A 25,038-nucleotide genomic window follows, 5' to 3' on the forward strand; every position below is an offset into this window, starting at 1 on the left:
CAAGAAAAGTATAAAGAATTTTTAATCTGATTGAAAAGGGCAAGAATTGGAATGGCAAAATTGTGAGTCTAGGAAATTAAGTTCTATTTAATTAGTGCAGAAAAAGGGGTGCATGTTTTATTCAATAGTGCACTGGGGCACTATTATTACTTTATAAATATTAATCATTAGACAGGATAACCAAAGATATTTTAAATGATTTATAATAAAACTATACATTTGATGACTCTTTGGTCACATTATTAAGTTTAAAGCATCATATGTAAGTGATTACAGTTCCTTGTTAATTTGGATTATTTTTCTTTACTTTTAACTATTTTTTAAGAAACGTTAAATTTTAGAGCTTCAAGGGACCTTAGAAGTCATATAAACCTACCCCATAATTTTACAGATAAGAAAAAAAACTAGAAAGATCATTTACTATTAAATTTACATAAATGTCATGTAATCCGTTATCCTTATATTTTCATATTATTTGAACAATTTGTCTCATGTGATTTACATATAAAATATTTTTTTAACAACCAGATATTCAAACTACACATATCCTGTCTATGGTAATTCACTATTTAATATACTCTAAGAGCTTTCAAAGACTCTTTTTCAATAACAAGTATATTGGCTTTTTCAGATCATTGATTACATAACAATGTACTGTTAGGTAGTTGTTTCTCTCACTGAAGATCAGGCCAAAGGTGGGCCTTTCTTCAAAGAAAGATGATGCCTAGGTCAGGGTGTTATTTTGTTTTAGAATGGTAAGAGCAATTGCTCATTGAATCTTTCATCAAATTTTCCACAAGGCGTACAATCAAGAATAAACAACTCTTAGAAATTTTAACTTGTAAATATAAGTATATATTTCCCGTCAGCCCTGTTGTATCTCTAGGTCTGAGTGTTAGAATTATGCTAATTAACTAATTGTCTACCAAACACAAGCTCTGAATTATCACATAATAAATAATTTCTAGGCCTTGATTCCTGTGCTAGACTGTTGATCTATAGAGATAATTAAACACATCGTTGTGTTTACTCAGAAGACAATACATTGTTTTGTCTACTTTTTAAAATTCATTTTTATTTCTTACATATATCAGGCACTCAGAAAGTGATGCAAAATATTGTGTTGTAAATTAAGGACATAACATATTTCACAGAATACCTGGCAAAATAGATATGAGCATATTCAAGGCAGTAATGAGGATAAAAGAACTCTTCAAAAGTAAAAACATAAAATAATTTAAAAAGAAGATAAAAGAATATTTCCATCTTGCAGACCTCTTTTGAGTAGTAAAATTAGCTTCTTTGTAGGTAACAACTAACAGCTCAAACAATGGTTAAGTTTGATTTGATTATGAGACAGCCAGGTGGGAAGTGCTCCCTGGCAGAACCTCCAACCGTCCTGCATGCTGGAAGAAATGTGCACTCAGGTAGAGCCACAGAAGCTTGCAGCGGGAAGGAACCAGGGCCTCCTCTTCCTGGGTGGAACCTGGGATTCAGAGTGCAAGGTGGGAAGTACACTAGCAGGACTCTGGCTTTGCTGAAGTTCCCTGTTTCCCTTTTTTCCCCTTTTTGCCAAATAAATTCAACTTTTCTCACCCTTCAAAGTGTCTGTGAGCCTAATCTCTCATGACTGTGTGACAAGAACCCAGCTCTTAGCTGAACAAAGGAAAAAGTCCTGCAACAGCTTTGGTGCCCAGAAGCTAAAGCTTGAGAAGGGGTGGGTGAAATGGGGGATCAAAACCTCTCACTGTCACTTGTAAGCCTTTTCATCCTCAGACTTCTGAGGGTAGGGGAAACCCCTGTCGCTCCCAGGGGTCGGTGGCCTTTCCATGGCCTTTTCCTTCCTTTTTTGGGACAGACAGGCGAGTGGCAGCTCCTCGCTCCCCCTCTCCTCCTGGCTGGGGCTGGTGAACATCATGTGTCCCTGGCATCTTCCCTACCCTGGACAAGGGGTTCAGCTCTTTGGGACAGCAATTAAGTTTTTCTCCCTGGTGGAGGAACATTTGCATAAGAATAAGAGGTTCTTCCCCCATGCATCCTTTTTTCTTCTTCACCCCATCAGCAGTTAACTTTTAAATGGGTTTGTTTTCCTTTTGGAAGATGTTTTACTAAGCTAGGAATGATAAGGATCACTGTTTATATTCTCTGTAAAGTTTTGGTTGTGATAAGGGATCTTGTGGGGACTGGGTTTTCTCCCGTCTGTCTGTGTAGCTGTATATGTGTTGAGTGTGTAACGTCTATAAAAAGAGCTTTAATTAATTTGGCCTAAAGGAAGACAAGCACTTGGATCAAATATTTTTTAAAGGGAATATAAAAGCTGTAGTACTTTTCAGTTCACGTGACTTTAATCTTTCAGAAATAAAAACAGCTTTAAAGATTATTGGTAAAATGCAGATGCCATCAAAATGTAAACAGGTCAACTAAATTTTGCAGGTCAGATGCAAGGTTTGCTAAGTGTTTTAAGGTTATAAAGTGCTTTTTGGGTTTTGAGAACTATTTGACTTGCTGGTTTCACAGTTGGTACATACGGGGACATACAGAATTAACCACACCCTTAATTATGCTGAAAGGAGTCAAACCTTGGTCGCACTTAGCACACAATTAACACAACTTACCAGGTTTTACATTAACGTTAAAAATTGGTAGGAGTTACCATTATAGCATGTAATTGAAACTACTGGAAATAGATTTACACGTGAGGTGCGTAGGAATAGTAAAATGTGTTTTTTTAGTAAAAGATTATAAAAAGGCCTAAAGATATAAATTCTTGCCTATTATTAAAGGACTGTTTTAAATTAGATAAGATAAAGGTAAAAATTCAAACAACTGGTGGAAGGATTGTAAGAACTAATCTTGTAAAAGAAATTCTGTGTGTGAACACTGACTAAATTAAAGAGGTTATTATATGGTTTTTCTATAAATTGAACATTGAAATAAAAGCACAACAAGGTTTTCTTAAGGCACTAATCTGCTCTTATAACAAAATTTGTAAAAGGCTGTAAAAGGATTTTGCTTCTTTAAAATTTGAGTCATCATTTAGGCAAAATAAATAATTTATGGTAACCCGGAATTCTATTTCATAAATCAAGTGTTTTAAACCTTTAACATATGTAACAGGCTTCCCAAAATCAAACTTCAGTTTCAAAATTGTCTTTCTTGACACCTGGTTTTTTGGAGGCTCCAGAAGGGCCCCTGGAATGTCCAGAAAAGAGGCAAATAGGATTATTTGGCATGTTTAGGTACATGGGATTGCCAAAATGATGTTCAATCTTCTTTAGGTTATATTTTTGTGAATAATGGTAATATATGTTCCAAAATTTTATGGGATTTCTAAAATTCGAATGTCTGAGTATATACTATCAATCATAATTAAGGTTGTTAGTTTAAGTTATCGTAAACCACGGAGGTAATCAAACTTCTTTGTCAATTGTGTTTGTAACTGTAACTACCCTGGACATTTTGCTATTCACAGACAATTGTCTTGTTTAAATCTTTTTAAAAGGAAGGTTTATAATCAGCTATAGCACTTTGACAGGTGCTCTCAACTACAGGCTTCTGATAACTTTGGAGATTGTGACATTGAAATAAAGAAAAATGGACAGGACTCATGAAGAGCTGAAATGTTCACAAATATCAAGCAAAACAAGAGTTAACTAAGAGGACTGAACTCAGGAAACTAAAGCAAATCTTTTTGAGTTTTCTTGGAATATTGCTGATCCTTGTCTTTTTTTTTTTCAGAGTCAAGAAAACTTATTTTGAACCATTTGTGACCTTTAATAATTGAGTATGGTATACTCCTGTGAACCAAATTTGGTGCATGTTTGTGTCTCTCTGCCCAGTTCCTCTAGAATTTGAAAACTATCTGAGTATTCATAACTTATAGCAATATAGTTGTTTGCATCAGTGCAATAAGAATCTATTTTTCTTTTGCAACAGAATGTAATTAGAGAAACTGCTTACTTTGCCAAGGCTTTGACTGGAAGGGTATGCTTCCCTTTAAGGGGTCAGTCTTGACTTGCAGAGCTGATAAAAGCCCCTTGGGGAGACTGGCCTCATACCCTTACCTATGCAATCCCTGTATAGGGTTCTGACTTGTGCTTAGTAGAGAATGTCACTTTCTCAGAGGTCCAGGAGCTCCAACTTTATCTCGGGACCTTAAGAGGAGAGGATCACCCAACTCACAGGTATCTGAGTATATATCCATGACTGGGCTCAGCCTTAAAAGGTCTTATCTGAGAATCCTTGTGGAACAGAGTTCCTTCAAAGACAATCCAAAAGGCCTATGTAGAAATAATTATTCGTGCTGCAATTTATACAAATAATCAGGTCAAGTGTTTAAGACTAACGTCTATTTTGCAAACCACTCAGTCTTATGATGATTTGTTTTCTTTTGACAAAAATGAGCACTGGAGAGAGATAAGTTATGTTTCAAAAGTTATCATACATTTTTCATTAAATTCTAGACTCATTAGTTGCTTTTAAGTTTTTGCCTACATTTTTAGACTAGCCCTGCTTGTTCTTGTGAACCAACCAGCAATCTCTGGGTGCAGCTCAGAAAGAACACGGGAGATGGGTAATGTAAACATCTGGATCAATATTCTAGTTTTGAGCAATTATCCCGCAAATGCTGCCAGGTGATGACAATAAATAGGGTGCCAATCACTCAGAGGTTTCCTTTTTGGGAAAGTAAGGCCAAGGGAGCTAACCAAAGCCAAGTACCATGCACCCAAATCGTAGCGAGCATAAATATAGCCACCAGTTATCTGGGTGTGTCACAAGACACCCTTTTCTCTCCCTTGTTGGAGGATGTCTCAATTCCACAGCTTCGCCTTAGCGTTTGTCTTATGATAAGGAGTCCAGGCAACCCCTGCCAAGACACATTTTTGTCCCAAACTCAATTCTAAGCTTCAGGTCAAAGCCCTAGGAAGGAAAACTTGATCTAAGGCATCCAGAGGCAAACAATAACAGAGGAAAAAAGGCACAGTGCAAGTGAACGTGGCTAATTCCTGCCTATTAAGCCAAGCCTCCTCTTTCATGGATAAAGGTTATGCTAGTATCCATGGCATAAATGAGGTCTAGGGAACACCAAGGCTACTGACAGTAGGTGGGATAGAGACATAGGTGAGAGTGGATAATTTCTATTTTCCAGGCCCTCCCTGCTTCATAGGTGCAAGCCACTTTGGCATCCATGGTGGCACCTGCCAAGGTCTCCAGGACTCAGAGTTACAAGGATGAAAGACGGAAACAGGATGCTCTTCCTTCTCTCCCCCACGTACTCTGGGTATCTGCTAGGAAGAGAAGGGAACCAGGGATGCCTGCTCCCCTCTTTCTAGATGGGTAGCCATTCATCTTCAGTCTGTACCCATTTCAAATGCATCCTGAACTCCCGGGACTCCTTTGAAAAAATGCCTTCTTTTTCCTTTCTCTTCCTCTGTCCTCTCTTCACTGATAGGTAATTATGTCTTCATACTACAGGACAATCACCTGAGATGCATCCTCCAAACTGACAAAAGTTTATTTTCCAAACTTTAAACTGGTTGGCTTAGGATTGGGCTCAGGGTAAAGTAACTCAGAAACCCAACATACCAGCAAAACGGAAAAGTTTATTACGAGTTGGGCTTTTGGCCTCCCTCTACCTGTGCAAAGTCATAAAAGGCCTTGGGATTTTTGAGCTTTCCTTACCCCTCCCCTTGTTTCATTTTGATAAATGTTTTCTAATAACCCAGTTTGTCTCTTCTTGCCTTCATGCCCTCAAACTTCAAACAGTCATGCAACTGGAGCCTTGGAGTATTGCCCTTTCTGCTAGGGACCCTTAGATAGGCCTCTGAGGGAGATCTGATTGCCATTTTCCCTCAAAACAGCACCCCCTATCAGTAGGAAGCAGTTAAGATCAGTCTTCACCCTTACTCCTATGCTTATTCTAACAGGAGTTAGATGTACTTCTTTAGAGGGGGGAACGAGGCAGTCAAGTGGGAATGGCTCCCTGGCAGAACCTCTGACTGACCTGCCCACTGGGAGGAATGTGCACTCAGGTGGAGCCACAGAAGTGTGCAGTGGGGAGGAGCCTGGCCCCTCCTCTTCCGGGGTCTAACCTGGGATTCAATCTGTGAGGCAGGAAGCACGCTAACAGGACTGTGGCTTAGTGGAACATTCCTGTTTTTCCTTTTTGCCCTTTTTGCCCAAATAATTCCATTTTTTTCACCATTCAAAGTGTCTGCGAGCCTAATCTCTCATGGCCATGTGACAAGGACCTGGCTCTTAGCTGAAAAAGGAAAACGTCCTACAAATTAGAAATACATTTATTGGAGATATTGGTTAACATACTGAATTTAGAGACCTAGTCTGTGAAAGACTGGTAACTCAGATACATTTTAACTCTCGATAGTTTTATTCACACACTACAGTAAGGCAGCACATAGTTCTAGTTCAAAAACCTCAAGGACAACATTTAGGGTTGAGTAACTTGTGTGTTACCAATCACTTGATTGTTCATAAAATGATATCTTCCAGATACTTTTTTAGGACCCAACTTGCATAATTACAGTTGGTGATCTTGTAAGTCACAACAGTTTGACACTGTTGAGGTAGGGTGACTAAAATTATAAATTGAACGGAGAGATTTTTCTAATGAGAAAAGGCAAAAAGCAACTCTAGAACGCTAAAATCTGAGAATGATTTGATTTAGAAAATCATCAGAGTTGTGGCTAGAATAACAAAATGGATATTAGCCACCAAATTTCAGAACATTTAAAATAGATGTTAGACCATGAAGATAAATGTTCACTTAAGACAAATAGAGAGTAGATAGGATCAAGCAAAAGTGATATACATGTCCAGTGGAATTATTATGAAAGATTTAATAATTTTTCTAGTTTATAATTTATTACTGTGGAAGAAAATTATTACTCTTACACTCTTGTCTTTGGAGTCTATACTAGAGTCAAACCTCTTGCTAATATGGAAATTCTTGTATTTATTGAATATTTCAAATTATAATTGAGAAGTAATGCCAGTAAGGGTTATCTAGTTTAAAATTTCCCAATAATGTTGTAAACTATATGTTAGGGAAAGAGCATTTTCAATTTGGGGAATGAAAAATCTGCTTGAGCTAGACTTAGACCTTGTTAAATGAGTATGATTTAAAATGTCAGAGAAAATAAGGGTGTAGGACATTTTACAGAAAAAAAAAGCAAAAGCAAACACAAAACAATAATTGTCTATGTAAAGAATTGCTCTAGTTTCAATAAAGGAAAATGTGTATTTTAATTAATCTAATATATATTTATGTATATGTTTATATAAATTGTATATGTATTTCAGATAGTAATATTTGGGGGGAAATGACAAAAGTACATGTTGATTTAAAAACTACTATATTTCTTCTATGTTTTTAGAGATTGAAGTTCAACTATTCTTTTTTTTTTTTCTTTTGAGATGGGATCTTACTCTGTTGCCCAAGCTCAGTGCAGTGGCATGATCATAGTTTGTTGCAGCCTCAACCTCCCAGGCTCAAGCAATTCTCCTGGCTTAGCCTCCTGAGTAGCTGGGACTACAGGCATGCACCACCATGCAGCACCACCAGCTAATTTTTGATGTTTTTGTAGAGACAAGGTCTCACTATGTTGCCCAGGCTGGTTTCAAACCCCTGGACTCAAGCAATCCTCCTGCGTCAGCCTCCCAAAGTGTTGGGATTACAGGTGTAAGCCACTGCATCCAGTCCTCAACTATTCCATAATTTTGTTAAAGACATAAAGCTAAATCTTTTAATAAATATTTTCTTTATATAATGTAAATGTAAATCAGCAATGCTATTTTGTATGTCATGACATTGAGTTGTCAGACAAATCTTACTAATTATGTTGAAGACTCTACTTTATGACCATCTTGCAAGTTCAGTGAAACAAAACCTGGAGACTGAAACAAGAATTAAAAGAAGAGGAGAAATAAACTGCTGTAATTCCCTGAGCCAATAGAGAGACAACACAGCTAACTTCTCTCTCAAATGTTTGAAAGCTCCTGAAGGGAAAAGAGGAGAAATCTAGGTAGAGCTCCAGAGTGTGGAATTAGCAAGAGTCCAAGGACCCTCAAGAATTCTCTGAAAGGAGAGTCATAAAGATGTGAATAATCACACAGTGTATCTTCTAACACGGGAAAGGGTTCGATGGGAGAAAGTGTCCCTCAGGAAGAACAGCAATTTCTTTAACTCCGCTGCATGGAAATAAGGAATCCAAGTTTACTTCAGCTTGTGAGGAAGAATGGGTTATATTCAATAGTAGACTAGGTGAATCAATCCTTCTGTCTGATCAACTACGACCTTCTATCCATTACACAAATCCTAAAAGTGATGTCCATTATGGCACAGGAATATGTGCACCTGAAAAAGTCAGTTCTAGGGTAGAAAAACATCCAGTTAAAAGCTGCCAGAGGTGTGCACCTACTTAGAGAAGAAGACTTGAAGACTTCTTTGTTGGGGAGAAAATATTTGATTTATACAAATGTAAGGCAAATATTGTATTCTGAAATAGTGAGGATCCAGGCAATAGAGTGTGCTCTTCTGCAAAATAATTTGTAATAGCTCTCAAATTTGGCATGAGTGAGAATCACGTGGAAAATTTGTCAAAAATACTGGCACCTGGCATTCTGATTCATTAGACAGGAATTGACATCAGACATCTGAATTTAAAAACAGAAAAGCCTGCTCTGATGATTCAAATTCATGTCAACATCTAAGAAAAAAAATCCCAATATATTTTTTCTTCATTATTTGCAAAGGGAGGTTTTCTAAAGCCTTGCAATTATATTTCCATTTTGAAATATAAGTGATATTTTTTCCTTCGTTCTTGTCTAAGGTTTGAACTGAAGACTTCTCTTTCATATGGCAGAAGCAAATGATTTCTATAGTGCTGTGTCAAACCAAAAGTTAATGTTAAAGAGATGTATTTAGGAAATGTGTGGAATCCCTTGCTCTATGTATTTGAGAAGGAATCACACCAAATATATAGTTTTAACTTATCCCCATTGTTTGTGGTAGTGGTGGTGGTGTTGATATCCCCGAGCATTCAATAAGGTTTTAGATACTGTTGCATTTTATAGCTCTGCTCTGAGAAATAAAAATATGGACTTGTGTCCATGGATGGAGAAAAGTTATAGGATAGGTGTCATAACAGACCAGGGAAAACCAGTATGAAGGAAAGAAGTAATATGAAAAATAGAGAAAGAGGAGTCCAAAAAATGAGCTAAAGTGACGATCCAAAATCAGGATGTTTTTGTGGAACATGCAATACTTTTGAGATACCTAGAAAAATACTGCAAAGAGAATTTGGGAAAAGCCTGGAATTCCAGTCAAGTGGCATGAGGACTCAGCTACAATTTGGGCATTCCATGGTGCTATGAATCTTGAAGCCTGGAAAAATCAGGAAAACCTGCATAACATTTCTAATGCCTCCATTTCATGCTAATCAGTGAAGGCCAGATATAAATTGAGTAAAGAAGTAAAGAAAATGTCACAACTTTCATTTAGGGTGTCATCAATCCCATAATGAATAAACTTGAACTTTTGGGAAATGCATGTGGCTTTTGGAATCACTATATCCATATGACCTCACATTTCCTCAGCCTGACCACCAGTAACATAACTCCAGCTGCTTTAGTGTTTGGGAGGTGACAATCCAAATCAATGTTAAGTGTAAAAGTATAGCAATAACTGGCTTAAGTTCAACCACTCAACTGGCTCTTTTTCCAAAGCAGAAGGATACTCTCTCTGCCTCTATTGAAATGTTGACATGGGCCTTTTTCATATACCATTGAAAGGAAATACAAGAAAATAATATGACTTTCAAATGCAAAACTAACGTCAGCACGGCAAACCAGAGTGATTTCACAGATTTATATTTTTTAGGAAAATCAGTTTTCTAATTTTGTCAGTTTATAAGACACTGGCATTGTTAAAATGATATTCTTAGTCACCATTGAACATAATGCTTCCCATGTAGGAGAACATAGTTCCAATCCTCAGGTAATTATCAAATAACTACTTCAAGGAATATTCAATATGATTCCACATATGTACACATATAATAATTAGAGTAAGGTATTTGTGGTTGCCTGAAATTATTATAATGAGATATATTTCAGGATTTCCCCAAATCAAATGTGCTTGTTTAACTGCAGTAGAACTGAGGATTATATTTTTGGAAACTTTTCTCCTATTGAGCACTCTCCACCCTTCGTTATCTTTGACCTTTTCTAGTATCATAGTTGTACCCTGATCTCAGATGTATACCTCTAGCTTAGACTTTGGACCTTTCTCATGAACACCAGTCTTATGTATTCAACTGACTCTTCAACATCTACATTTGGATAATGGGCATTTTTAAATCAACAAGTACAAAATAGAGGTCTTGATCTTCCCCCTTCTAAACTGATTCTTTCACAGTCCTTCCATATCCGTTAATAGCAACTTCACATTAAGTTATTTAGCCTTAAAATCTTGGAGTCATCCTTGACTCCTACTTATGACTGTTTACAGCCTGTCAGTAAATCCTGTTGCCATTCCTGGACTGAGCCACCATCATTCTGGACCATGTATATTGCCTCCAAAGAGTATGTATATATGTGTTTATGTTCAAATCATATAACCAGTATCTATGATGATATATATTTTCCATATTTTTAAATCAGTTTGTACCAGCAACCAGTTGCCTACAGCCAGTTACATTGTTATTCAAATTGCATGGAACACCCTAAGAAGATGATCTGTTCTATTTCATCTAACATTCAAATTTTATGTAACCAGATAGAAGGATTCTAGATTCTATATTATATGATATTTATATTGTATAACACCACATAAAAATTGAGGAAAAGTAATTTAAGTAGTTACTTTTACTTCTTCTACAATTTACTCTCAGTACGGAGTTATCCTGTTGAAACCTTAAAAGCAAGTGAAATCTCTGCTTAAAAGCCTACTCGTAGCTTTAATCTCACTCAGAATAAAAGACTAAGGCCTTACAAGGATTTTACACGGCTTTCACAGTTTACAGCCTATATGTCTTTTACCTCATTTTGTATCACTCTCTCCCTTACATACCTTTTTTCCAGCCACACTGGTTTCCTTGCTGAATTCTGTCAAACCAGGATGTTCTAACCCCCAGGCTTCTATACTTTTAGTGTTCTCTGTCATGAACTCGCTCTGCTTAGTTATAAAACGGTTTGTTTCCTCATTTCCTTCGGATTTTGCTGAAATATCACCTCCAGAAGGTTTCTCTGATCACCCTATTCTAAATTTAATACCTCTTCTATTTCTTCTTGTTTTCTTGTTCACTGTAGCACATTCTATATTTTACTTACATGTTTTATTTGCTATGTTGTCTTCACAGAAATGCAAGCTCCTCATGAATTTGTGCTTGATTTTTTCATTGCTGTAACCCTCTATTTTAATTGCCCCTGGCACATATTTGTGGCTTAAAAAATAAATATTTGTTGCTGAGTCAATTAATGAATTCAGTGTTGAGCAATATTTTTCTGTATACCACTGCCTTGACTGCTGTGAAAATCTTATAAAAGGATCCAAGTAATTAGTTGAAAATGTACGATTACCACATTATGTTTTGTTCCTTTCTTTTGGGTTTCCTATTGGGTAAATCTAGTTTCTGTTTGTAATGATGTTTTATTCATTTGAAACAATATTCCTTCCCAATTTTTAATGGAATGTAAACTTCATGAAGATGCATCAGCAATTTTATTTCCCATTTTGAAATTTCTTTCTCATATTACACAAAATTGTACAATTTGACACTGTTAGGAATTTTATAGAGCTGTCTAGGCTGATTTGAAGTGATTTTCCCTCATCACTCCTTGACTACACCGTTTAATTCACATGACAAATTGAACAAAAGAGCACATAGAGTTACAACCTGTAGATCTTTAATTAGTGTCTTCATTATCCAGAGGCACACATTTATAATCCTCTAGAGTCCTTGCTGTGATGCATAGAAGATGGCTGGCTAAATCTGATGAGTTAATATACTCAGATACTGTTATTTTCCTCTAAACTTATTTTTTTACCCCCAAAATAAGACAGTATTTTGTACATTTTACTTCTTGATATAAAGACAGGAGGATATGTGTAAGCAGAATATAACTGCTTACCTTCAATAAAACAATTCTAATATGTTTTCAGGTTTCAGTACAGAAACATTGTTAATACATAATATAATTATGGCATCAGACCATTGATTCTGGGAGGTTTCATTTGTTCATGCTTAAAATTACAGTTGCACAGACAATCCTAGTACTATTCAATCATTTGCAGTTATTTTTCTATATTTCTGTGTTTATATATTCATTTTAATATTTTATTTATTCTGATATCTATACACATTAACATTTAGACCATTCAGCTGACTTTTTAAAAACAATGAAACAGATGTCATTTAATTTTTTTACCGATATTTCCATGAAGGTTTCAGTATTGCTCTTTTGTCTGAATTTTTGTTATAAATATGAAAATATGTTTCCCATGAGTAGATATTATTTTGTAAAAAAAACAGTAAACTAATTTATGAACTCTTATATATAACAAAATCAAACAATTTTATGGACTGTAATGTTTTCTCCATTTCTACTACATTTTTGTGTGCTTTATACGTTTCTATTATAGCACTTACCTAAATTACGTATTCATTTGCATGTCTTTCTCTTGTATCTATAGACTTGTGCCTAGGATTCTGCTTGATCTTAAAACTTACTCATGAAGGTTTTTAAATAAATGGTATTATCATCATGGGTGAATGTATGATGAATCTACTTTGTGCTAAATAGTTTTCTTTGTAAATCTTTTGCTAGTTTTTACAATTTATAGAGTATTTTTCTTTTTGAGGGATATACACTTATTTGGTCTTCTTGGTTTCCAGATTCAAACTGGAAATATGTTCATAATTTCTTTAATTCTATTTTATAGTCATCAAGGAAAATGGGGGTGTTCATTTTATGTATTAGTTTGTTTCCTATTAGTAAATTGTAGTAATTTCTCTTATTTATACATCTAGAACATTTCTCTTGTTGTTGGTTAAATGTACTAGATCCTCACCAAACTGCTCTAACATAATAATACCTTTCTCTTGTGCCAAACATATACTGTATTCATTTTCCCTTTCCTATTTGTAGAGGCTTCATTCTCTTTTTCACTATTGTGGTAAGGACGCTTAACATGAAATATATTTTTTAAAAAAACTTTTAAGTGTACAATAGAGTATTGTTAACTACAGGTACAATAGTTTTTTTTCTTTTTTGACCTGAAACATAGTACAGAGTTAGTACACATCTTGCCACAATCTATTTTATTGTATTGGCCCATAGTGGAAGTTTTGATTCATGTAATAAAATACATTTTAAAATTGCAGTAAAAGATCCAGGGTGTTAATCTTCTAGCTGGTAAAAACAATTACAAATTCTGCATTTGTTAATATTTTATTGGTTATTGCCACTTTTCCTTGAATTGAAAGGCCTAAAAGATAGATAAATTTTGCCAAATGCTTTATTTTGAGATGTAATTTTTAACCTCATGACTGAGGAGAGAGCTGAAATTTCTCACATAAGGTGCAGCACAAATTTGATTTATGTTCAGTATAATCTCTTATAACTCAGACTGGAAAGAAAATACACAGTTACGAATTTGTTAGTGCCTAGAGAAACAATATCTTTAAAGTCAACAGGAGTGGATAAAAAGAAAATATGTCCTTTGTTGATATTCCAGTAACTGACCACAATGTTAAATATATTCGATAGGCCAAATGTGTTTAAAATTTGATTTTGGAAAAGAACAGAAATAGACGATTTAACTATATAGAGTCTAAAAGTGCTTAAAAAGGTGTCCTTCGTTGCTTTCTGTTAAATAAAATCTTGGTGATTTATTGATGTCGTTACACCATGTTACACACTCAGCACTCCTCCTCCAATGTTCCCCAGAAAAACAAAATAAATGGCAAGGAAAAGAATCTGCTATTCTTTTTTGGCTTATCTTAGAGCCTAAACCCAAAGACAAAGAACCCTGGGTCAGGAGGAGTTAAATCTTAAGATCCTACTGCCTATAGATATGTACCTACTTTTTGCTTCTTCTGCTAATTCAATTTACTTCACAATAAAACTCACAATTGATCAGAGGTGTGGCTTATGCATTCCAGGGTGCCAATGACGACAGGGTAGATGATGATTCTATTTTCTACCTTAGACTTCTTTGAATCTGTGAATACTGAGTTCTAGATGAGATTTCTGCTTTGTGTCAGATGGGAAATCCAGTTGTTTCTTGTTCAAAGCCTGGTAATTCCCTCAACATTCCCCCACGCTCTGCTTATTTTGCTGTTCTAGTATTCCTCTACACTTTGCTTTGTGGGATTTCTCGTACTGAGAAATACAGAGACATAAATGTTGGGTTTGCTAAAGGTATCCCACAGATCATTTGTCTTCCAACAGTCAACTGGCTCAGTAGAGTAATTGCATCCACAATGTCTTATACCATTCTTACTCCAATCTCCAAACACATAGTGAGTTAATTAATTATGATATTGCCCATTAACACTTTAATAAACCTTATCTTCTCTGTGACCAACCTTAGAGTTATTACTTCCCTAGCATTTTCCTCATAGCATGGACTACTATCATCTGAAATTGCTCCAACACTTTCAAACTTTCAATTAATGCCTGAAGCATCTTGTACTGAATTTCCTTGTCTTACCTTCAAGTATATTCATAATTTCTTTAATTCCATTTTATAGTCATCAAGGAAAATGGGGGTGTTCGTTTTATGTTCTAGTTTGTCTCCTATTAGTAAATTTCAGTAATTGCACTTATTTATAAATCTAGAGCATTTCTCTGTTCTTGGTTAAATATACTAGCTCCTCACCAAACGTCTCTAACATAATAATACTTTTCTCTTGTGCCAAGGATATACTGTATTCATTTCCCCTTTCCTATATGTAGAGGCTTTGTTCTCTTTTTCATTATTGTGGTAAGGACACTTAACATGAAATCTATCCTCCTTTAAAACTTTTAAGTGTACAATAGAGTATTGTTAACTATAGGCACAATGTCATACAGTAGATCTCTATAACTTACTCATCTTGTATAACTGAAACTTTATACTCATTGAGGAACAACTTCCCATTTCTGCCTGGAAACCACCATTCTACTCTCTGTTTCCATGAATTTGACTATTTTAGATGCCTCATGTAAGTAGAATCATGCAGTCTTGTCTTTCTGTAACTGCTTCATTTTACTCAGTATAATGTTTTCCAGGTCCATTCATATTGTCACATATGGCAGGATTTCATTCCTTTTTTAAGACTGAATATTATTCCATTGTATGTATGTATCACATTTGATTTATCTATTGATGGGTATTTAGGTTGTTTCCATATCTTGGTTATTGGGCAAATTACTGGAACAGATATTTCTTCAAAGAAGACATACAAATGGCCAACAAGTATATGACAAGACACTCAACATCATTAATCATCAGGAAAATGAAAATCAAAATCACAGTGAAATATCACCTCAGACCTCTTAGGCTGGCTATTATATATATGAAAAAGATAGCTGTTGGCAAAGATGTGGAAAAAATGGAACCCTTGTACACTGTCGGTGGGAATGTAAAATTGTTTAGCCACTATGAAAAATAGTATGGAGATTCCCTGAAATTTTTTAAAATAGAAATACCATATGATCCAGTGAAACTACTTCTGGGTATATATCCAAAGAATTGAGATTAGAATTTCAGATATCTGCATTCCCATGTTTATTGAGGCCCGCTTCTAAGACCACAAATCTTCCACAAATAATCTACTTTCTTCCTTCAGCTCAAGCTATTTAGTAGTTTCCAGTTTCTACTTCTGAAGGGAAATTGTCCTTGGAGCAGCATTATTTCTCTTTATTTATTTATTTGAGACAGAGTTTCATTCTTGTTGTCCAGGCTGCAGTGCAATGACGCAATTTCAGCTCACTGCAACCTCCACCTCCTGGGTTCAAGGGATTCTCCTGCCTTAGCCTCCCGAGTAGCTATTACAGGCATGTGCCACCACGCCTGGCTAATTTTGTATTTTTAGTAGAGATGGGGTTTCTCCATGTTGGTCTGTCTGGTCTCGAACTCCCAACCTCAGGTGATTCGTTTGCCTTGGCCTCCCAAAGTGCTGGAATTACAGGCATGAGCCACCGCACCCAGACCTCTTTATTTAATATACTTTATAATCTCTCTAGAGAAAAAAGTGACAAACTATTTTCATGGTGACTTTATCTACCTGATAGCCAAAGCAACAAATTCCTGGAATATGTTCCCTTAGTAATGTTTTTCTGGAGAAATTTATGTTATTTAATTTCAGTTTTAAAATTTTATCTCCATTTTAATTTTTTTATTTTCCATTTCCAACCTTCTTTCCCATTCATAGGAAATACTTATAATGTGTTACATACACTTTTGTTTGTTTTCCTGAAAAACGTGCTTTATATTTTATGTGTAAGTAGTTTTAATATACAAAACTGTTATTGTATAATATATCTCATTCTGTTTTTTACTGGTTATCATGTATTGCATTATTGTTCAAAGCATTTGCTGCCCTTTGCTGTAGGAGGAGTATACTTCCCTTCTCCATTAATATCAGACTTGACTAGGGGACCTTGTTTGGCCGATGAAATGTGATAAGTGGCATGTGTCATTCTTTGGTTTGTTTGTTTTTTTCATATCTCGATCTCAACTAGACGTAAGATGTTTCATTGCCAGTTTGAAAGTAAAACGTTGTATTTCTCTTTGCTGCTTTCTTAAGACCAATCTCATGTATAATTAGCCCTATGGATAGTTTAAACCCACAAAATTCACATTTTCCTACAAAAATCACAAATGTTTTCCTAAACTTCCTGTTTCTTCATTCTTCATCATGTCTACTCCTATAATTTGGATATTGTCCATGATTATAGTTCCTCATTGTTGAGGATAAATGCTTTCAACAGTGTTAGATTTTAAAAAAAACAAAACAAAGCCCTTACCAATGTATTGTATAACTCTTATATTTAGCATCTTTTGCTGCAACTTTGAGATTTATTTATCCTCCTATCTAAGCAACTCCTCTAAATGTGTTTACAACTCTATTTCATTATTTCAAAAAATGGTGTTTTCAACACATTTGGGGTCTTTTTAAGAAAACTTTCTGAAGCATCTCTTACAATACCTGACTTTCGCATTTGAATGACAGTTTAGTTGGATATAAAATTCTGGTTACAAAATATTTTCCTTCAGTTAAAAAAATATTGTTCTGTTGTCTGCTAGAATCTCACATAGTGTTGAGAAGGCTCATTCTTATTTTGTATTTTTCTGTCTGAAAGTTTTGAACTTTTAATAATTTTTAATTTTATATCTTTTCTGTTTAACAATCCATGACATGAGTTATTTCATCTTTCTTTATTTCTAAGAGTTTTATTTTGACCATTACTTAAAAATTATCCTTCTGTCTGTTATTATTTTCTGCTCTATTGAAGACTATAAGTATCTGAATATTGATAATGCTATTCAAATTCCTCTTTTTCTCTTTTAGTCTAGCTTCTATTTTTGCATGATTTCTTGGTACTTTTGGAAAAATTCTTCATTCAGATCTTCCATTGTACTACATTTTCCATCTGTTTTTTTTTACACTACACGTGATCTAATCTATTTGGTTATTGCTTTTAATGATTATAATTTTCTTACCTGATTTTTATAATTTCTAAAAATATTTTTATGTGTATATTACTAATATATTATCATCTAAATCTAGCATTATCTGTTTATTTTTAATTACTTAACTGTTAGTTGGAATAATTCTGCTATTGATGTTGTATGCTGTTAACTTTGGATTTTCCTTCAAAATAAATATAAATGATGTTGGATGTTTTGCTTTTGAGTTAATGTTCCCCTTAAGATATCAGATAAATGCTTCATAAACAGATAAAGGAATATTCCCTAGGGAGATGCCAAAAACGAGAAATTAATTTTTGTTAATTCAATTTGGTCTAATTAGAGGAGAGTATAAAATTTCCAGGTAGAAAGGCTAATGAAAGGCAAATAAGCTAGACACAAAATAATACATATATATTCTTCCATTTAAATGAAAGTAAGAAATGGGCACACCAAGTTTATGATGGGAGAGGTCATTGCAGCTTTTGAAGTTAGCATCTTCTTTCAACTATTTTAGAATGTAAACTTTGTCAAAATTCAAGCAACCACATATAAAAAGATCTGTTCCTGGATTTTCTATTATATTGCACTGTTCTGTTTTTCTATCTTTATATAAATAACACACTGTTTTAATCACTGTAGCTGTGTAATAAATCTTGATATTTGACAGTGTTAGTGTGCCAGCTTTACTTTTATTTTTAAAATTGTCTTAGCTACTTTTGCCCTTTGCATTGAGATATATACATGTCAATATACATATATATAACATACTTCTTAATTTACACATATGTGCACACATTCACTTAACAAGTTGCTATAATTTTGACTGGTATTGAATTTACAGATGAACATTTAGGGATAATTACATCTTACCATAATACGTCTTCTAATTCTTGAACCTGGACTATTCCTCCACTTACTTAGGTCTTCCTCAATTATTTGAAATAGTGTTTTATATTTTTCGTCTTATAGACATTGCACATACTATTTTTAATTTATAAATATATATTGGTGTGGTTTATGCTACACTCGATATCCTTTTTAGCATTCCTTTTTCATTTGTCTGTTGCTGCTATGTAGAAATATAATTAAATACTATATATTGACATTGTGTCAGTGAACTTTCTAAGTTCACTAATTAATTTCAAATATTTGTACACTATTTTGAATTTTATGCATTCACAATTATGCCATCTTCAGTTAATGAGTATTTTGTTTCTTCCTTTCTAATTGCTAAAATTTTCATTCTAAATATACCTAATCAGACTGCCAGAACTATGCTGAATAGAAATAAATATAAAATATATCTTCTTGTTTTTGTTCTTCAAGGAAAACAATTCAGCTTAATTTCATTACATATGATATATGCTTTAGTTTTCCCAAGTAACTTTTTTCAAAATAAAAAAATTGTTTTGTCAAAAAAAATTGTTTTGTTCTTCGTTTGCCAATAGATTTTATCATGAATGGATATCATTAATTCATATTGAATTCCATTAAATGCTTTTTTTTCTGAATCCATTATGCTAATCATGTGATATTCCTTCTATTTCTCTTTTAATGTGAATTGTATTGATTGATTTTTAACTTGTTGAGATTTATTTAGAACTTAGCATATGTATTCATGCGAGAAATGTATCTGTTGATTTATTTTCTTTCAGTGCCTTTGTGAGGGTTTGTTATTTGGGTTATGTAGACCTCATAAAATGATTTGATGATATGCACCTCTACCACCTTTTGATTACCTGGATGGGTATGAATAATGTTTGATATTAGTTCTTACATAAATGTTTGAGAGAATTAACCAGCAAAGCCATTTGACCTAGAGTTTTCTTTGTACAAAAGTCTTTATTTACAGTTTTAAATTATGTAATAGATATGAATGAAGCTGTTCTGATTTTGTATTTTTTATTGTGCCAGTCTTAACAAGTTATGTTTCTGGGACTATTTCCTTATACAAGGAAATAGTATAGTTTTTCTTTTTATTGACATAAAGTTGTCTATAAATGTTCTTATTTCATCTTTAAAATCTGTAGAATCTTTATTTATACCCCCTTTTCATTCCTGATATTATTTTTGTTCCTTCTATTTTTTTGTTTTGTTGAAAAAAAAGCTCTCTTTGCAGTCAATGTTTTTATTTTTTCTGATTGTTCTCTTTCACTTTGACTTTCAGTAGTTCTATTATAATATGCCTAGATGTGGCTTTCTTTGTGTTTGCCCTACTTGGAGTGTAGAATTTCTTGAACTTGGGTTTTGATATCATTAATCAGTTTTGGAAAAAATCTTAGCCATTATCTTTTGCAATATTGCCCTGCACTTTTCTCTCCTCTCTCCTTCATGGCTCTCATTTGCATTATACTGGTCATTTTCACTGTGCCCCATATGTTTCTCATGCTCTTTTTTTGTAGTTGTCTTTTTTTGTACTTCTGTTTGCTCTCTGTGTTTCAGTCTGAATACTGGCAAGATAGTGTCAATAACTGCGACATCTCTTGGTTTGTTTCTATTGTCGATCATATTTTTCTTTTGGTCTTTTGTTATACTTGTAAAGTTTCTGTTAAATCCAAGACATTGTTTTGAGTCTGTTAAGTTTCTAAGTAATGGTATTTTTTTCTAGAGTTCGTTTACTCCATATACCTTGGTAAACTAAGGGTCGGTTGATCTTAAATCAAATAGGGACTCAGCCAACTAAGCCTTATAGGTTCATTTTACTTTTGGTTCTTATCTGCTCTTCAAAATTCATCCTCCCACTTCCAAATGAAAGATTAGGACATTTACTAAGATCCTTTTTTCCGTGGTGTGTTTTGGACATCAGTTGTGTCACCTCAGAATAAAGAGATTGTTGAAACCTTTACTACTTGTCTTTTAGAAGCTTTCAATTTAGTTTTTCTGCTTTTTACCCTGAAACAGTTTAATAATTTAGCAAATGCCTTCAAGTGAAACTTGACTTCACACTCTGCCCCTTTTTTCTCATGTTGGTCTTTCAAGTCCTGTCTGTCTTGGCAGCCACATACTTCAATTTTTGTACCTTCTGCTTTGTGAGTTTTCTAAAAAGCTCTGTTGGCTTTTCTGCCTCTAAGCAGTAGCATTTTACTAGATTTGCAGCATCTTGCTCCATGCCAAGAATTGGCAAATGTTCCTAGGAAAATTCAACTCATAGAATATTTGCTCACTTGTTTGCAGTTCACTTCTTTTGAGAAATTTGACTACTTAAATTCTGTGGGGTTCAATTTTAATCTGATGGAATGCCTTTAAAGGCATATATGTTTGGATAGATTTTTTTCCTTAATCTGGCTCTTTAAATTTTATAGCAGTAACATTGGTTTTTCACAAGATACTTTATCATAGTCAGGAGCTTAATTCCCATCAAGGCACTTCTGATTAATTTTTTTGGCTACCACTCCCCCAGGAAACAGACATAGTCATTACATTCACCTTTACAGCCTTCAGAGGAATCGACATTGGAAATAGGCACACTCCCTGGTTTTTAGGAAAGTGGTGAGATAAAAAACATCCCTGGAACCCCTTTACCTGTGCTCGTAAATTTCTTATCTCAGCAGGTCTTTTTCATTGCCCATGTTATACCTCAGACAGCAGCACTAGTGGCCCCACTGATGTGAGCCATTTCTCAGCCAAAGAAACATGTTAAAATTTTCCCAAGGCAATGAGTGTCAGCAACAGGAGCAGAATTTTTAAAGTTCTTTAATTCCACATTTTTCTGGTACAGTCAACCTCAGTTTCTCATCAGCTTAGCTCCTGGATTAAAGATGAAGCTGGGTATCCTTGAGGAAAGACCCTGCTAAGCTGCCAAAAATTTAAACCTATACTATGTCTCCTAGCCTTCTCCAAAGGGACCTATGGCATTTTACCAGAGAGATTGTACACAGAGGAAATAGAAATAATAAGATGTTTGATGATTACTGAACACTGAACTGACCCTAATTACAAGACTCAAAATGTCACTGTGTTCTGCCAATCAGAGTAAGACCCATAGAAGTTAGGTAATGGAATTTTAGCTCAGGTCCTTTTCACACTGGGTCTAGTTGGTCCCCAACCACATCCTGTAGTTATTTCCATACTTCTAGAATACAGAATTGGAGTAGTTATACTCAGCAACTGGTAGAATACAAATATAAGTTTCCTGAACTGTGGTGTGAGGGGTATTATGGTAGGAAAGCCCAAGTGGAAACCACTAGAACTTCTTCTACTGAGGAAAACAGTATGTCAGAAGGAATAACACATTCCTGGAGAGTTGGCAGAGATGAGTGCCACCAATCAGGACTAGAAGGATGCAAGGGAGATGATTCCCACAACAACCCCATTAAATTCACCTATTTGGCCTATGTAGAAAACAGATGAATCTTGGAAAATGACAGTGGATTATCATACACATAGGCAGATGGTGACTCCAATTGCAGCTACTGTTCCAGATACGGTTTGGTTGCTTGAGCAAATTAACGCATACCTGATATCTAGTGTACAGCTAATAACCTGAAAAATGCTTTTTTTCTCCAAACTTGCTACTAAAGCCCACCAGAGCAGTTTCCTTTCATTTGGCAAGCCAACAATACATCACTCTCCTAACGCAGGGGTATATCAACTCCCTGGATCTATGTTAAAGTTTAGTCCACCTTGCTTACCTTTCCCTTCCACAAGACATCATCAGACTGGTTCACTAAATTGATGACATTATGTTAATTGGACCAAGTAAGCAAGAACTATCAGCTACTATGGACTTATTGATAGGGAATTTGTTTGTCAAATGGTGGGAAATACATCCAACAAAAATTCATGGGTCTTACACTTCAATTACTAGGTACTTAGTGGTGGTGACAATTTTGATATATCCTAGATTTCTAAGTGGTTGTGTCTGGTTCTACCACCGGAAAATGAGATCCAACATCTAGTGGGCTTCTTTGGATTTTGGGGGCAACACATTTTTCATTTGGTTGTGCTACCACCTCCCATTTATTGCATGATGAAAAAAGTTGCAGTTTTGAGTGGAGCCCAGAAAAAGGGAAGGTTTGGAAACAGGTTCCAAGCTGCTGTGGAAGCTGCTCTGCCACTTGGACCATATGATTCAGCAGATCCAGTGGTGCTTGAAGTTTCAGTGACAGGTAGAGATGCTGTCTAGAGCCTTTGGCAGGTCCTATAGGTAACTCATACTGCAGACATCTGTGAGTTGAAGCAAAGCCTTGCCATCCTCTGTGGATAGCTACTTTTCTTCTGAGAAACAGTTTTTGGCCTTAGTAGAGGCTGAACACCTAGCCATGGGCCACCAAGTTCCCATGTGACCTGAGTTGCCCATCATGAACTGAGTGTTGTCTGACCTACCAAGCTGTAAAGTTGGGTGTATACAGCAGTACTCCATAAGCAAATGGAAGTGGTATATATGAGATTGGGCCTGAGCAGGTCCTGAAGGCACAAGTAACTTACATGAAGAAATTGCATATATGCTAATGGTCTTCCTTTTGCTACACTGCCTTCTGTCTCTCAATCTCCATCTCTGGCCTAATGGTAAATTCTCTACAATCAGGTGACAAAGGAAGAGAATAATTGAGCCTGGTATACAGATGGCTCTGCATAATACAGTAGGCATCACCTGAAAGTGGACAGCTGCAGCACTACAGCCCCTCTCTAAGACATTCCCGAAGGACAGGGAAGAAAAAAAAAGTGAGGGGAAATTTTGCTTGGAACATTTTATGTTTCATGGAAGGAGAAATGGCCAGATGTGTGACTGCATACTGATTCATGGTCTGTAGCCAAGGGTTTTATTGGATGGTCAGGGACTTGGCAGGAGCATGACTGAAAAATTGGGAACTAAGAAATTTGGGGAAGAGGAATGTATCCAGACCTCTCTGAACAGGTGAAAAATGTTTTTAAAAAGTCCATTTCATGTGAATGTTCACCAAAGGATAACCTTAGCATAGATGGCTTTTAATAATTAAGTGGACAAGATTACTTACTCTGTGTATCCCAGTCAGCCTCTTTATCCCACCTCCTGTGTCATTCTCCCATGGCCTCATGAACAAAGTGGCCATGTTTGGCAGGAATAGAGGTTATCTATGAGCTTAGAAATAAGGATTTCCGCTAACCAAGGCCAAACTTGCTATAGCCACTGCTGAGCAGGCAATAAACCAACTGTAGGTACCAGCAATGGGTCTATGATATGGTACCATTTTCTGGGGTTGGTCACTAGCTACCTTGTGGCAGGCTAATTACAATGGATCACTTCCATCGTGGAAGGGAAGGCACTTTCTTCTTATTAGAAGAGATGTTGCTATGGTCTGAATGTTTGTGTCTCCCCAAAAGTTACAGGCTCAAGCCTGTCCCCCAAGGTAATGATTTAGGAGGGGGCCCTTTTAGGGGTTGATTAGGTCATGAGAGAGAGCCTTCACGAATGGATTAGTGCCCTTATGAAAGAAGATTAAGGTATCTTGTTCATCCTTTCAGCCATGTGAGGACACAACAAGAAGGCATCACCAATGAAGAATAGGCCTTCATCAGACATCCAATCTGCAGGCCTCTTGATCTTGGACTTCCTAATCTACAGAATTGTGAGTGATAAAATTCTGTTTTTTATAAATTACCCATCCTAAAGTATTTTTCTTATAGCAGGCCAAATTGAGACAGATACTTACACTGGATATAGATTTGCTTTATTTCTACACAATGCTTATACCCAAACTACTATCTGTGGAATACAGATAATGCCTTATCCATCACTATGGTGTTCCTCAAAGCGTTGCTTTTGATCAAAATCTCCCTTTAGAGCAAATGAAGTGCAGCAATGGGGAACATACTCATAGGATTCACTAGTATTACTGTGTTTTCCATAATCTCAAAACAAGTGGCTTGACAGAATGGTGGAATGGCCTTTTGAAAACCCAGCTACAGGATCAGGTAGACAAAATTCCTTGCAGCACTGGGGCAGCATTCACCAGGAGTCTGTATATGCCCTGAATCAATGTTAAATATATGTTGGTGTTTCATTCATGGCCAGATTTCACAGGCCCCAAAATCAAGGGGGGAAAATGGTAGTGGCACCACTCATTATTAGTGTCCCTAATGATGCACTAGCAATAAATGTTACTTCCTGTCCCTGAAACCTTAAGTTCTGCTGGTCTATAGGTCTCAATTTCAAAGGGAGACATGTTTCCACTAAGAGACATAAGAATGATTCTGCTGAACTGGAAGCTAAGACTGTCACCCTACTACATTACACTTATGCCTCTGAGTCAACAGGCAATGAAGTTACCTTGCTGGCTGGGTTGATTTGTCCTGATTAGTGAGAGAATGTTGGACTGCAGTTACACAATTGAGGTAAAGAAATGTAAGTCTGGAAG

The 25,038-nt window shown here is 35.5% G+C and overlaps 1 long non-coding RNA gene across 1 annotated transcript in view; it reads left to right on the forward strand.

The window, feature by feature from the left end:
* LOC105373153 (uncharacterized) overlaps positions 1 to 24,794 on the forward strand; it is a 350,749-nt gene extending 325,955 nt beyond the window's left edge. Inside the window, exon 3 of the long non-coding RNA XR_950542.4 lies at positions 24,146 to 24,794. This is a non-coding gene — a long non-coding RNA (uncharacterized LOC105373153). The remainder of the gene's footprint in view (positions 1 to 24,145) is intronic.
* The last annotated feature ends 244 nt before the right edge of the window (positions 24,795 to 25,038 follow it).

This window comes from Homo sapiens, chromosome X (assembly GCF_000001405.40).
Source record: "Homo sapiens chromosome X, GRCh38.p14 Primary Assembly".
Lineage (NCBI taxonomy): Eukaryota > Metazoa > Chordata > Mammalia > Primates > Hominidae > Homo > Homo sapiens.